This window comes from Homo sapiens, chromosome 1 (genome assembly GCF_000001405.40).
Source record: "Homo sapiens chromosome 1, GRCh38.p14 Primary Assembly".
In the NCBI taxonomy this organism is placed as follows: domain Eukaryota; kingdom Metazoa; phylum Chordata; class Mammalia; order Primates; family Hominidae; genus Homo; species Homo sapiens.
In genome coordinates, this window is record NC_000001.11 from 7,317,224 (window position 1) to 7,333,200 (window position 15,977).

The 15,977-nt window shown below is 43.9% G+C and overlaps 1 protein-coding gene across 25 annotated transcripts in view, besides 1 other annotated feature; it reads left to right on the plus strand.

Moving 5' to 3' along the window:
- CAMTA1 (calmodulin binding transcription activator 1) overlaps nucleotides 1–15,977 on the plus strand; it is a 984,253-nt gene that overhangs the window by 531,770 nt on the left and 436,506 nt on the right. The window lies entirely within an intron of this gene.
- Nucleotides 396–1,595: an enhancer, noted in NCBI's record as "CDK7 strongly-dependent group 2 enhancer chr1:7377679-7378878 (GRCh37/hg19 assembly coordinates)". NCBI's record gives its function as "activates an origin of replication core promoter dependent on BRD2, BRD4, P300/CBP, MED14 and CDK7 cofactors, with strong dependence on CDK7, by STARR-seq in HCT116 cells {active_cell/tissue: HCT116}" and the evidence as "EXISTENCE:reporter gene assay evidence [ECO:0000049][PMID:35650434]".

Sequence of the window (15,977 nt, forward strand, 5' to 3'; positions counted from 1 at the left end):
GCGTGTGGTCCTGGGACAGCCCACCTGACTCTGATCTTCCCCATCACTTAGTCTGGGACCTGGAAGCTGGCAGCAGCTTAGGTTAGTTAGCTGTTAGCTGTGGCTGTTGAAAGGATGACAACTCTGTGATCCACCTGTGTGACACTGAAGAAGTCACTCAACCTCTCTGTGGCTCCCTGTCCTCATCTGCAAAATGGAAATGATGATAGAATCACTGTGAGGGTTCAGTGAATTAATACGTGTCTAGCCCATAGAACAGTGCTTGCCACAGTAAACACTGCTTACAAGTTTGCTCGTGTTGTTATCTAAGCAAAATTCCCAATCAAAGGGCTTTGAAAATGAGCTGGCAATGACTCTTTGTCGGTGCTCTCTCAGTTGTACTTGATGCCTTTAGACACAGGAGGCAGAGAAGATGGCACAGGCCTGGAAGCGGTTGAGCTGGATGACATCCACACGCAGGTGTCCTGTCTGAGCCTGTGCCCTGTGTCGGTGACCAGTCAACTGGCATATCCTGAATGGAACACAGCCCTGGGCAACTTAACAAGGGGCTAGAGGGCATAAGTTTCAAAACTCTTTTTGGGGATATTTATAAGAGACACTTGCATTGGTTAAAAAAAATAATAATTGTAAAGTGACCAGAGCTACAAATTATTGATCTTCTCTGTTCCTTTCCTGCCTAGGGCACATTTCTTGATCCTTTTTAAGCCAAGGGGAGATGTACTTGCTTTGCCTATTGAGGCCCTTCCTACCACCCAGGCTCTGATGGCTCAGGTGCCTTCCCTATGGATGGCCTGGGGAAATGGGCAGGTATGTGGAGCTAGCATGCTTGAAAGAAAGGGGGTGGGGGAAGATGACGGCAAGGCTGACGTCAGGGCCCAGTGTGCCAGTGCAGAAGCAGGGAGGCCCCATCCCTGGCTGGAAATTTACTGCAGCTCAGAGAACAGGCCTGTGTTCCTCCAAATAAGGCAGAAATTTTCCTGCATTGCTAGTTGTACAAACACAGGGAGGCACTGAGCAGTGGCAGGTGGCACTTGGAGATTTTCTGAATTTCAGGCATTGGGTCAGCCCGTAAAGGCTTCCCTGGGGTATGGTGGACTTGGTCAGTGACTGGTTGGCTGGAAGTCTCTCTCCTGGGTGGTTACCTGGTATATAATGAATAAAATATAGCACTGGACAACTTAACAGGGAATGGGAGGCGAAGGCCAGTGAGTTTCACAGCCATTTTCAGGGGATATTTACAAGGGACCCTTACCTTGGTTAAAGAAAAATGTAATGTGACCAGAGCTACGTATTTCTGATTTTTCGCCTCCATCTTGGTATCCAATGAATCACAGCTAATATGAGCTCTGACTGTATGAAAGGGGTTTTCTTAGTTGACCACTCAGCTGAGAGAGCTACCAAATCAGAATTCCACAGGAGAGGATGGTTGGGTTCCTCAGCTATTTTGGAGGATGACATAAAATGTTGCAGAGGGAGAACCCTTCTCTGCAATCAGACGAGATTTTCCTCATTGTTCTGCAGGGCCTCACATGTTACCAATGAAAGCCAGCTCCCTGGTGCCACGCGTTTTACTCATTGCTGGATCCCTAGGGCCTAGCACAGTGCCTGGAACATGCACGTGCCTCTGGGCATATTCAGTGAATGAATGAACAAGGGAATGGAGGTGGGTGAAGGTGGACTGCTAGGGAAACCGGGAACATATGAAGGCAGCACGAAATCGTGTGTGTTGGGGTGAAAATGGACGACTGGAGTCTCAGCTTATTGAATTGTGGGTAATGTTCATTCAACTAGTCAGTCAAAGGATATTTTGGGAAACTTCTTATACCAGATACATTTCTTGCCTTCATGGAGTCCTCAGTCTAGGGGAGGGGGGAAGGCAGACACTGAATGACCAGCTACATGATTAATTACTTATGTACATTTGTGGTGGGCACTTCAGAGGAAAGGTGCAGGGGTGAGAAAGTGGCATTTACATGGAGATCTGAAGGAAGGTTGAGGGTGAGATAGTGATATGGTTTGGATCTGTGTCCCCGCCCAAATCACATGTTCAGTTGTAATCCCCAGTGTTGGAGAGGGGGCCTGGTGGGAGGTGATTTGATCATGGGGGCAGATTCCCCCTTGGTGCTATTTTCGTGATAGTGAGTGAGTTCTCATGAGATCTGGTTGTTTATAAGTATGTGACATCTCCACCCCGCTTCCTCCTGCCCCGGCCATGTGAAATGCCTGTTCCTGCTGTGCCTTCTGCCATGATTGTAAGTTCCCTGAGGCCTCCCCAAAAGCTGATGCTGCCATGCTTCCTGTACAGCCTGTGGAACCGTGAGCCAATTAAACCTCTTTTCTCTATGAATTACCCAGTCTCAGCTATTTTTTATGGCAGTGCAAGAATGGACTAATATGGCTAGTAAGGAGGAAACACATACTGGGCATCAGGATATAATCATTCATTCATTCACTCATTCAGCAAATAATTACTGAGCAGCTACCATCTGTCAGCCGCATTCCAAGTCCTGAGAAGATTCAACAATGAGCAAAATAAAGTCCTTGCTCTCAATGAGCTTAAAACAAAGCGTAAAGTTTGTGCGTCTTTTGTTAGATTTATTCCCAAAGAGTGGATGTTTTTGATGCTATACTAAATCATTTTTTTTTTCCTTGGCATACTAAAAATTTTGTTATTTATTCTATGGCTGCCAATACGGAGAAATGCAATTCTTTTGTGTGTGTGGGCCTTGTACCCAGCATCCTTGCTAAATTTATTTACCCAGTCTAATAGCTTATCTGCAGTACTCTGGGTATTTTCTACATATACAATCATGCCATCTGCAAATAATGAAAGTTTTATTCAGTCCTTTCTGATCTTTATGCTTTGATTTCTTTTTCTTGCTTTATTACACTGAGTAGGCTCTCCCACCCAGTATCAAGTAGACGTGGTAAGGTGATTGTAGGCATTCTTGTCTTGCTCTTGATCTCAAAAGGAAAACTTTCAATAATTCACCTTTAATTACGATACTTGCTGTAAAGTTTTAGTATGTATTCTTTATCAGATTGAGGAAGTTCTCTTCTATCCAGCTTTTCTCAGAGTTTTTGTTTTTTATTGCAAATGAAGATTGTTATCTGTTCCGTATGAATGAAAATGTTTTCTGATTGAAATAGAAGAGATCACAGTCATCGAATCAGTTGGCCATATGCTATGTATCTGAGGCTGTAATAATCCACTCTAGGAAAGACATCTGGCTGGTGGGTGTGATTGATCAGGGTTGCTACTCAGTTGAACTTACCATAGTCGATAGGCATCTTTCAGGATCCATCTGGTTTCTGCAGGGTCTACGTTGGTGAATTAAAGACATGATGAGGACCACTCCCCTGCTTCCTTTAGATCCTTAAGGGTGGCTGTCATCTCCACTATCCCCCTGGGCTGTGCTGTGTGTGTTTTTTTTTTTTTTTTTTTTTTTTTGCTATCTTAGCCAGCATGGTGAGAGGGATAATTTCAGAGACTTTTGCTTGCCTTTTCCCTCATGTACCTCACAGACCAAGGGCCCAATGTGGGGCTGTACCAACTGTCAAGAAGGCTAATCCCAGTTACACATTCAAGAAGAGGAAATGACCATCAGTTGGGCCCATGGGCTCAGTGGATCCATTGTAATGAGACTTTGGGCAGGACTCCATTTATGATCAGGCTCCTAATCCAACAGGGGGCCTACAATGACACCTGGGGTCTCTGAGTCTCAGATCAACTTGGACTCTGTGCCAAACCATCCTCAAAATACTTGGGTCTTTCCCAATGCATAGTTACCCAAATAAATGGCAGTAAGCCCCTTGGTGAAGGAATGGGGGAATGAGCTCATTGCATGTACTTGCTGCGGAATTGCAGGGTCCTTTCTCTTGGGCACCTGCCCATCTCTTTTTCCAACAAGTTGCAGGTCTAAAAACTGACTTGGGTCCAGAGATTGGTAAGGGATTGTGAATTTTTATGGAAGTGACTGTCATCAGCCTCCCAGGCATCCAACTTTGATTTCTTCTACTCAACAAGGCCGTTGGCTGCCACTCTGACCTTGCTGCTCATTTTGGTAGTTGTGGCTCCTGACTTCTGATGGTTAAGCACTAGCCTTTACCGTTTTGGGGTCCTATTGCACCATTGCTATCAGCAAGTCAGGTTCTCTGTCAGCCTCTCCTTCTGTCAGCCCTCCATCCCTGGCCAGCAGAGGGGAGCCACTGCTGAACTTCTCAGTGATGCTTGGCCCTCTCACTGGCACAATCCTTATGACCCTGGAGAACAGTGTGCTGTTTGGTCTTTCCTGTGGAACATGCTCATCCCCAGGTATTCTGGGCATACATGGTAGATCCATTGTAGCATGCCCAAGCTCCTAGGCCCTTTAATCCCTTCTTCTGCAAGCTGTCAGGGCTTTTCTGACATTTCAGCATCTCTTTTTGCATATTTTAGGAGCCATCCCAGTAGAGAGTTCACACCATCCCCAGGGATCCCTACCATGGTGTTGGACATCAGGAGAGTACCTCTTCTCTATCCAATTTTTTGGTCAGGCCCACTTGACCAGGCTTCCTCAGAGTCCATCCCCCTTTATCCTCCCTCCTTCCTGGTAGCACATGTTGGCTAGAACTTGCACCTCCTTCTCCTTTCTTATCAGGCCCAGCACCTCCCCTGCTGGGTTACACCACCACGTAACCCTAGGCCCAATAGTTAGTAGGGAAATTGGGAACATATCTTGAGTCGAGGCACCAGTTACCTTGCAGGAGAGAGACCTCTGCACTGTTTTCTAGAGCAGGGGTTTGCTAGCTCTAGTAGGGGAGGGGTGGATGCTTCTGCAGGCCTGGAAGATTTGGAAGAGTCTGAAGAAGTCAAATTATTTGGGGGCATTTGCACAGATGTCCCTATCCCCTGTGTGGGGGTTATCAATTTTTTGAGCCCGGTGTCTGACTCTGGCATAACAAACCTGCGTTGGTTGCCTGTCTAACCTGCTTTGCATCTCTGCTACTTGATCGGTTAGATCCTAGGCTTGGTCTTGGGCTTTGTCGGCCCCACAATCGAAGGCTCCCTGGCTTTCTCATTTGGTTTCCAATTGCACATTAATTGGGCTGTTTCTGATCTTTCTGTAAAGCGGAGGTCAGTGAACATTTTCTCAAAGGGAGAGATGGTAAATGTTTTAGGCTTACTAGCCATATGATCTCTGTTGCAGCTACTCTGTCTTTGTAGAAGGCAGCCAGAAATGGTATGTAAATGAATGCGTGTGGCTATGTTCTAATAAAACTTTATTTATAAAAACAGATGGCCACTATGGGCAACTGTGGCAATAGCCATCCAATCCCATCATCCCAACAAGAATTCTCAGACACTGCTGGTGGGGATGTAAAATGCTCAAGCCACTTTCTGTTTCTTTTTGAGTCACACTTGGTTGTTTGCATTTTTCTAATAATTTGTCCATTTCTCCTAAGTTTTCAAATGAGTTGGCATAAAGATGTTTATAACATTGCCTTATCTTCTTAGTCTCTGTTTCATCTGTACTTATGTGTCTGTTTTGTTACTAATATTGTTTAATTGTACCTTTCTTCTTCTTCCCTTAATAAGAATTACCAGAGATTTGTCAATATCAGACTTTTCAAAGAATCAGCTTTGACTTCATTGATCCCTTCTCTTGTATGCTTGTTTTCCATGTCATAAATTTCAGCTCCTCTCCTTTCCTTTCCTTTCCTCCCTCTTCTCTTTCTTTCCCTCCCCTCCCCTCCCCTTCCTCCGTTCCTCCCTTTCCCCTTCCCTTTTCCCTTCCCCTTCCCTTCCCTCCCTCCCTCCTTCTTTCCTTCTACTTTTTGTGTGTTGATTCAATTTTTCCCATGTGTCTATTGTTTTATTTTGTTCTATTTCTTAAGTTATTGTTTTTTACTCCTTTTTTTAAAAAATTAACCTTAAAGTATATAACTTTTTTCCTCAAAGTACTACTTTAGATGCATCTAGAAGTTTGGGTCAGTAGCACCACTGTCACTTAATTCAATATATTTTCCAATTTTTACTTTTATTTCTTCTAAGATTTATGGCTTTCTTGAAGTATTTCAAAGTTTCCAAATATATGGGGAGGAGGAGATTTCCATTATATCCTGTTTAGAAAAATCTTCCTCCAGATATCCATGTGGCTTGCTCCCCCATGGCCTTCAGGTCTTTGCTCCGAGTTTACCTTCTCAGGAAGGAAATCCAAACCACCCAATTTAAAATTGTAAAATTGTGCTTCCTTAGTACTCCCTACCCCTAGCCTGGGATGATTCTATTTCCTTTATTCTTCTTTTTTTTTTTTTTTTTTTTTTTTTATCTTTTTGAGATGAAGTCTCACTCTACTACCCAGGCTGGAGTGTAGTGGCACGATCTCCGCTCACTGCAGCCTCCACTTCCCAGGTTCAAACAATTCTCCTGCCTCAGCCTCCTGAGTCGGTGGGATCCTATTTTCTGTTTGTTATTTCCCCTGCTACTAAAACACTAGAACGACCTCTCTAGAACATACATTCCTTTGAAGGCAGAGATGATTGTCTTCTTTTGTTCACCGTTGTAGCCTTAATGCACAAAGCACTGTCTGGCACTTAGTAGATCTTGAATAAGTAACTGTTGAATGAAGGAAGGACACATTTATTAAAAATTTCCATCCAATTGCCCTGTGGTCGTGCTTTGTGAAATATAGTTTCTCTCAAATTTGATGAGACTTGATTTATGGTCCAAAATGTGTTCCATGTATGCTTGAAAAGGATGTATGTTCTGTGGTGCAATGCCCTATATGTTTGGTCAGATTTATTAATTGTGTTATTCAAATCTTTTCTATTCTTCTCCTTTTGTCTATTTGATCTACCAAGCACTAAGACATGTATATTAAAATTTTCCCATTATGATGATGTATCTGCCCATTTCTTCTTGAATTTCTGCTTCTGCTCTATGTTGCTTTAAAGATTTTAAGGCTATATTGTTGGGTGTACACAAGTTCAGAGTTGTAACTTCCTCTTGAATATTTCATCAATATGGTGATCCTCTTTATCTCTAGTAATGCTTTTGGCCTTGAAATCTATTTTATCTGCTTTCTTTTGCTTAGTATTTGATCTCTCTCTTTCCATTGTTTTATTTTAAACATTTCATTTCCTTGTGTTTTCACTATTCCAGGTTTAAATAGCATATATAAAGATTCTTAAAAAAAATCCAGGCTAGTAATCTTCTATTTTGAGAATTGAATGTATGTACTTTGGCTGTAATTATTGATTTGTTTGAATTTATTTTTTCCATATAGCACTTTCCATTTGTTGTGTTTTTGTTTGTTTTGCATGTGATCTTTTTTCTTTCCTTCTTTCGCCATGTTTTCAATTGAGTTTTGTGTTTTTCCCTTTTCCATTTTAAAATGTCTGTGCTCATCCTGGCCAACATGGTGAAACCCCATCTCTACTAAAAATACAAAAATTAGCCAGGCGTGGTGGCAGGTGCCTATAATCCCAGCTACTAGGAGGCTGAGGCAGGAGAATCACTTGAACCTGGGAGGTGGAGGTTGCAGTGACCCGAGATCGCGCCACTGCACTCCAGCCTGGGTGACAGAGGGAGACTCCATCTCAAAAAAAAAAAAAAAAGTCTGTGCTTAGAAGATATCCTTTATTTCTATTTTTCAATGGTTACCTTAGAAATTCCAACATAGATATGGTACCTTAACAGGGCCTAAGGTTAATCTACAGTTTGACCATCCTTTTGAACAATCCATGACCAACCCCCACCCAGGCCTTCCTCACTCTACTAATGTGTTCTTTCTGTGAAGACGTTGATTATATCTTGATTTTCTATACCCCTCCAAAATAGACATCATTATCATTATCATTTTACACAATTAATATTTCCATTCTTCCCTTCAACAGATACTTATTCAACATTAAATTCCACGCACTGTTCTAGGAACATAGGAAACACAAGGAACAGAGAAGGCACAGGTCCCCACCCTCATGGACTTGACATTCTAGCTGGGGTGACAGATTCTAAACAATAAACATCCACGAGGAAATGATAGAAGATATCAGAAGGGGTCATGACTGGGAGAAAAAGGTAGAACAAGATAGGGAGGCTGGGAATGCAAATGGCAGTTTTCTGTGGAGTGCTCAGGGGCGGCCTTGAATGGAGGCTGGAGGGTGCCAGGAAGAAGCCATGTCTGCCTGGGAGGGGAAACACTGAGGTGGAGGGACAGCCAGTACAGAGTTTTAAACTGGAGCATGCTGAGCACGTTCAAAGACAGCAAGGAAGCCAGCGTGGCAGGGCCAGCTAGGATGCTAATGTAGTAACCCAGAAGAGAGGTGGTGATGACTTGCTCCAGGGTGTAGCCAGGTGGATGGGGAGAAAGGGGTCTTGGACTTGGCACAGATTTCCTAATGGAACAGAGATGGGGTAGAGTCAAGCTTTTTTCTGCATGTTTTTGTCTTGAGCACCTAGAAGAATAGAGTGGGCAGTAACTGAGATGAGGAAGCTATAAGAGAAGCAGTTTTGGAGGAAGCATGGGAGATCTGCTGTGGACATACTGCATTTGAGATGCCTCAAAAATTCAGAGGGGCCACTGGACCCCCAAGTCTGGCATTTCAAGGGCAGATCCAGGTTTGGTTTGTTGTTGGTGGGTTTTTTTGTTTGTTTGTTTGTTTGTTTTATGAGGCAGAGTCTCGCTCTGTTGCCCAGGCTGGAGGGCAGTGGTGTAATCTTGGCTCATTGCAACCGCTGCCTCCCAGGTTCAAGTGATTCTCATGCCTCAGCCTCCCAAGTAGCTGGGACTACAGGCGTGCGCCACCATGCCTGGCTAATTTTTGTATTTTTAGTAGAGACAGTGTTTCATCACGTTGGCCAGACTGGTCTTGAACTCATGAGCTCAAGTGATCCGCCTGCCTCAGCCTCCCAAACTGTTGGGATTACAGACGTGAGCCACTGCACCTGGCCGACAGATCCAGGTTTTGTGGACCTTAAGCTTATACAATTTTGAGAGCCTTCTTTAAGGAACAAAACATAAAATTACATAAAAACCAAATACAAGGGAGGGCCAGAAACTTTAGCTCCACTAGCTCTGCAGAGAGCTGCCTTACAGCAGTTGAGGAGAAAAGCAAAGCTGGAGAGATAAATGTGTACGTCATCAGCAGGGAAGTGGTACTTCTAGTTGAGAGATTGAATTCTGTCCCCCTCAAAAGACATATGCAAGTCCTAAGTCCCAGCACCTGTGAATGTGACCTCATTTAAAAATAAGGTCTTTGTAGATATAATCAAGTTAAAGTGAGGTCAGACTAAAGTGAGCTGTAAATCCAGTATGACTGGTATCCTTAAAGGAAGAGGGAAATTTGGACACAGATACACAGAGGAAAAAACGTGAAGTGATGAAGGCAGAGAGTGGAATGATGCAACTCAAGCCAAGGAATGCCAAGTGTTGCCAGCAAGCACCTGAAACGAGATAAGAAAAGATTCTCCCTCACAGCCTTCAGAGAGAACATGGCCCTGCCAGCACCTTGATTTCAGACTTAAGACTTCCAGAACTGTGAGAGAATATGTTTCTGTTGCTGTCATCACCCAAGTTTGTGGCACTTTGTTATGGCAGCCCCAAGAAACTAATACAATGAGGGAGTGAGTAGGAAAGAACATCAGAATCAGCCCTGAGGCTTGTCAGGGACATAGGAGGTCCAGGAAAGCAGGTAGAGAAGATATGACCATGAGGTAGGAAGGACCCCTCAGGAGAAGTGCACTGTGACAGCCAAGCGAACAAAAAAGGATGAAGAAGGAGGAGGTGATATGCTGTCTTCAGGTCACATTCAAAGAGCCCTGAGAACTGGCCATTGATTCAGCAATGAGGAGGTTTTTGACAAAAGTAGTTAAGTGGATAGGCGGGGGGGAAAGTCTGTTGGAGTTGATTTAAAAGAGACCAGGAGGAGGCCGGGCGCAGTGGCTCACGCTTGTAATCCCAGCACTTTGGGAGGCCGAGGCAGGCGGATCACGAGGTCAGGAGATCGAGACCACGGTGAAACCCTGTCTCTACTAAAAATACAAAAAAAATTAGCCAGGCTTGGTGGTGGGCGCCTGTAGTCCCAGCTACTTGGAGAGGCTGAGGCAGGAGAATGGCATGAACCCGGGAGACGGAGCTTGCAGTGAGCCGAGATCACGCCACTGCACTCCAGCCTGGGCAACAGAGTGAGACTCCATCTCAAAAAAAAAAAAAAAAAAAGAAAAAAGACCAGGAGGAAAGAAATGGGAGACAAGTAAGTAAAGATGTCTGTTTTTAGGGATAACTGCAAGGAAAGCAAAGGAATAAGGTGGTAGTGTTGGAGACATGAGGAGAAGGTTTTTTTAAGATTGAAGAAATAGCAGCATGTTTCCCTGCAGGTTGGAATGATCTGGTAGGGAGTGGAATATTGATAATATTAGGATACAGCAGGCAGGAATACTGCTGGAGGAATGTCCTTGATTAGGTAAGAAGGAGCACAGCTCATGCATGGGAGGAGGGACTGTTTATGTTTTCTCTCCATTCCACCACTTTATTTCTCATCATTTTTTCTTACATCTCAGACCTTCCTTCTGGGATCATTTTTCTTCTCCCTGAAGTATATTCTTGAGAAGCTTCCTTTCTGGAGTCTTGTTGAAAGTGAACTCTCAGGTTTTGTTTTGTTATTGAAAATATCTTCATTTTATTCTCATTATTTCAAGATTGTTTTGCTGAATATACAGTTTCAGGTTGACAGTTCTGTTTGTTTGTTTTTTTTTCCCTCCCAGCACTTGAAAATATTAGTCCAGTGTCTCTTGAGACTTATTGTTACAATTGAGAAATCAGTCGTCATTCTAATTGTCATTTCTCTTTGACTCCTGTTGAGGTTGTCTCTCTAGCTTTGTGTTCCACATTTTCACTGTGATGTACTAGGTGAGGGTTTGTTTTTGCTTTTCCTGACTGGGATTCACTGGGCTTCCTTCTCGAATTTGGTGGCTGGCTGTCTTTCAGAAGCTCTAAAAATTCTCAGACAGGTCGGGATGATGGCTCACACCTGTAATCCCAGCACTTTGGGAGGCTGAGGCAGGCGGATTGAGCTCAGGAGTTTGAGACCAGCCTGGGAAACATGGCAAAATGCCTTCTTACAAGCAAAAAAAAATTCTTTTGCTCCTGTAGTGGTTATGCTCCTGTAGTCCCAGCTACTTGGGAGGCTGAAGTGGGAGGATGGCTTGAGCCCAGGAGGCAGAAGTTGCAGTGAGCTGAGATCCTGTCACTGCACTCCAGCCTGGGAGACAGAGCCAGACCCTGTCTCAATAAATAAATAAATAATAAAAAATAGAAATTATCAGACAAACTCAGTTATCACCACTGCCCTGTTTTTCTCTCCTTCTTGAAGTCAGATCATTTGTATTGTACTCTGCTTTCTGCATCTTTACCTCTATTTTATATGTTTCAACATTTTCTCTCTGTATTGGCTTCCTTAGTAATATCTTTTTATTTGTCTTTTAACTCATCAATTCTCTCTTTGACTATCTAGTATTTTCTTTACACTGAGTTTTAAATTTTAGTTATTGTATTTTTTATCTCTAGAAGTTCTATTTACCTTTTCCCCCCAAATCTGCCTTGTTGGTTTGGAGATTCTCTTGTTCCCTTATCATACTTTCATTTTCCTCCTTTCTTGCTTTAAACAGATTAAACAAACTAATTTTATATTATGTTTTTGATAATTCCAATATCTGAGTCTTGGCAGATCTGATTCTTAACTTTTCTTCTTTGTGCTGGTTCTCACATATGGAGAATTGAGTCCTCATGTGCTTGGTTATTTTTACCTTATGACCTTGCACTCCAAAAGCTGCACCAGAGACAAAATCAAAATGCCTTAACTCCACTTAATGCATCTTCATCCTTCCTAAATCTGCCCTTAAAAATCCAAAGAGTGTGATTATCTTCACTTTACTGTAGGTCATAGAAGTGTTAAGTCAAAGAAGTTGAAGTAACATCTTGAAAAAAAAAATCCCAAGCTCTAAATTAATAACTTAATGTAACTTCTAATTATGTTGGAGTTACAAAATTTCTTTCCCTGGATGAACACAAACTATGACTAAATGTTTTCTAAACAATTAAATTTAATATTTTGACCAATTAAGATGTTGCAGGTGTGTTCAAAATTAATTATTATTTTTCTTAATTTAAGACGTTTTTCATTAGTGGAAAGAAATTCCAAAATTTGACACCAAGCTTAGAACCAAGAGATTCTAAAATTCTTTTAAAATTTTGCCAATTTATGTCAAATTGTCTCACCTATGACCAAAAATGCTTTGCTCTCAGGCTTTGTTTTTCTGAAAACTCTTTTTTATGTTTCTCCCGTGGCTAATCTCTCTAGAATCTGAGACCTGACAGCTGAAGGGACTTAGAGGTCCATTTCTCCCTGAAAGCTGACCACAGACCATTCAGAAAAAGTGATTTCCAATAAATACCCTACGTGTGTGATGGTATTGAGATGAGGGAGGTAGATTGTTCAATTACAGAAGCGATACCCCATCTCTTCTATGTGTAACCCCAAATTCATTGCTACTGAGGTTCTATAATGCTAAGGCTTGCAAAACTATCACTTTTACAGATAATGAAATGAAATCCCATTTAATGATGATTATCCCAACACAAAGAGGGTTTTTCCTTTTTTATTATTATGAAAATACGCAACTGGCAAAAATACACATGATACAAAAAGATATGCAGTAAGAAGGCTCTCTCTCCCACAGACCCTCCAGGCCCATGCTCATGGGTAACAACGGCCACAGATAGATTTCCAGGCTGTTCTTGGGGCACCTCAGCCCTCTGCTTCTTTCTTCCCCAACACTTTCTCTCGGGCTTCTAGGCAGGCAGCAGACATGGAGATAGGACTGGTGGTCGTGATGCTTAACCTTGAGCCATTACTACCAGGAAGGGAGGGAGAGAAACTTGGGTGTACTGAGTGCCAACTGTTACCAGGCTGAAATCCAGGCTCTGCACGTGAGATCTCTACTCCACAGAGCAACTTACAGAGGTGGGAATATAGTATGGTGAAATAACAGAGGGTCCAAGACACCAGATGGCCAGCCCCCAGCACAGGCTTGTAATAGTCGCAGGACCCGGATTCAGCCCGCTCTTGTTTGGACCACGCGGCAGGAAGAGGCCTGACGGTGCAGCTGCTGCTGGGGAAGAGACACGTTTGTCGTGCCTTTCCTACCCGGAGCTCCCCTAGCATCCTCCTCCTTGGCTGGGAAATGGAGTGTACGCCCCCTTCTGAGGATTCTTCTGGACCCAAATGTGAGTTGAGGCCAGAGATGAGGAACCAGGAGCACCCACATGTACCATGGGTGAACCCCAACAGGATTGGGGCATTTCACCTCATTGAATCAAATCATTCATTGCACATTTGAGTTGACCCCAGTCTCGGATATCTGAATTCTAGATAAAGACATTACCCAGGACATGTGAACATGTACTGGAAAATATCAGGCAATGGTTCAATCACAACTGTTTATACTAACTGGCTGTTAAGTTATAAGAGAAAAAAGTATTAAATGCCAACATGGTTTTCTGTGTTGATTCTCTCTTTGATGCAGGGAATGGATATGACAGTGAAGCCTGGCCCGCAGGAGCTGTGTGCATCCTATCAGCCAGATACTGGGGGAAGCAGGCAGGGCTGGCCTCATAGTCACACCACCAGAGTCAGGCTGCGGCCACATCGTAGGGCTTTGGGAGGCTGGGGCTGTGTTTGGTTCATGGGGTTAGAGTCGGGTACAGTGGCTCATGCCTGTAATCAGCACTTTGGGAGGCCGAGGCGGGTGGATCACCTGAGGTCAGGAGTTCAAGAGCAGCCTGGCCAACATGGCAAAACCCCGTCTCTACTAAAAATACAAAAATTAGCTGGGAGTGATGGCAGGCACCTGTAATCCCAGCTACTCGGAGGCTGAGGTAGGAGAATTGCTTGAACCTGAGAGGCAGAGGTTGTGGTGAGCCAAGATCATGCCATTGCACTCCAGTCTGGGCAACAAAGCGAGACTCCACCAAAAAACAAAACAAAACAAAACACCTCAGTGAGGTCCCCCATGCCAGACTTTCAGAGGAGAGCGAGCCTATGGGGCCATCATCGGTTTGGCCAGGTACCCCTGAGGGCAGCAGCAGCCCTCATGCGGGTCTCAGGACCCCTTTATACGCTTAAAAATGAATGAGGATCTCACAAAGCTCCATCCTTATTGCATTCTTTTGATTATGTGGGTTACATCTCCTAATATTCACTGTATTTGCATTAAAACTGAGGAAAATTAAAACAAGAGAATACACAAGCACTGCACATTCCATGAGCTGCCAGACCATCAGCATCATCACATCCAGTGGCGTCTGGAAAATGCTGCAGCACACACAAGGCACATCACATGCTAGCATTATTATGAGCAGGGTCTAGAACCCCCTGGCCATGCTTTGAGAACCTCTGCCCTTGGCACCCCCTAGAGAGCTGACCGTGGTCAGAACCATGTGCTCAGCAAGACAGGTAACCTCATGCCTGGGTCAGCAGTTCCTCTTGGTTTTCTACCTCTTTGACCTTCTCAACTGCAATGGATGGGGACATGGGGAAGGTGGCCATTGAGGGCTGCTGACTCTGGGTAACTTACATGTCCCTCGTCCTTCTTATTCTGCTTTGGATGATCCCACAGAGCTCTTTTGAGGTCTTTGTATTTTGACAGCAGGAGGCCCATGACAAACTATTTGGGATTCAAGACTTAGACGCCTCTCCCCAACCCGTTTGTGCAGAAAGATTGGCTTCCCCCACAACATAAATGTCCACACTGAAACCCTGTAACTCCATCCTTATTACACGGTTCCAGGGAGACTCTGGGATCATGCTTCACAGTTGATGTTTGTGCACCAAATGGAAATGCAGCAAGAGTGCACCAGGTCTGGAGAGGGGCTGCTGGTGTGGGGCCTCTGAGGGGGCCCCGATCTGCCAGTCACTCTGAGTTCCCTGTCAGGAGACTCATAAAGAAGGCCAGCGAGGACTGGGAACACATGTTTATTTTATGAATGACTTCGGGGAAAGAGGAGAAAAAAAATCCTCCAGAATGTCATCCAGGAGGCTGTGTTCTTTTTATTATGTTTTGTCGGTAAACAAAAAAAATGGCCACATTTAATACTTATACCAGTCCTGTGGGATTTCTCTGACTAATGTAAAATGACAGTTGTCACAACATTCTATATAAATACAAGTCTGTTTGCAGGAGCCTTTTCTATTTTTAATGTAAACCACACCTAACTCGCTCTGAAGAATTGTACCCTTGGAATTTAGAGTCCTGTCTGTTGTCTATTCACGGGACTGTATTGTCTTAGGAGCAGCCCGGAAGAAACCAAAGACATCCAGAACTTTTTAGTTTAACGTGAGAATTATTCACCTAATTTTCCCGCAGCCATTGTGTTACTTAATTTATTGTTGTGTGGAGCTGTATGGTGATGTCGCTAATGAGCGACACAGTGTACTTGGTGAGCCAATCCATAATTTAGGAGGCTGCTGATGATCTTTGTGCTGTCTGCAGGCTGAGCAAAGCAGGCAGTAAAAATAAAGAATATACTTACAGTTTATAGAAATGAGCACACACCCGCAGATACACACACACACACACAATACCCATTACTAGGCTTGCAACCCCCATGGTTGCACGAAGCGTGAGCTTGTGTGCTGAGAGGTGCAGGGAAAGCTGACCGTAGGCTTGATAAGTTCACAGTGGACTCATGGCCACTCTGTTGTGGACTGTCACACTATGGAGAGTTGGTGGAAGAAGTTGGCTTCCATGAGAGGGGGCAAGTGTGAAGCCCTTTATGGTCTGTTTCCTTGCATTCCTCAGCCATTTATTGCTGCACCCACTCCAGCGGGCATGAGCAACAGAATCCTCTTTAGTCCTAGTGGCAGGTCACCCAGTGACTGGCATTCAGGAGCTAAACTGATTGATGGTAAACTTGATGATGTCGCCCTTCTCTGCA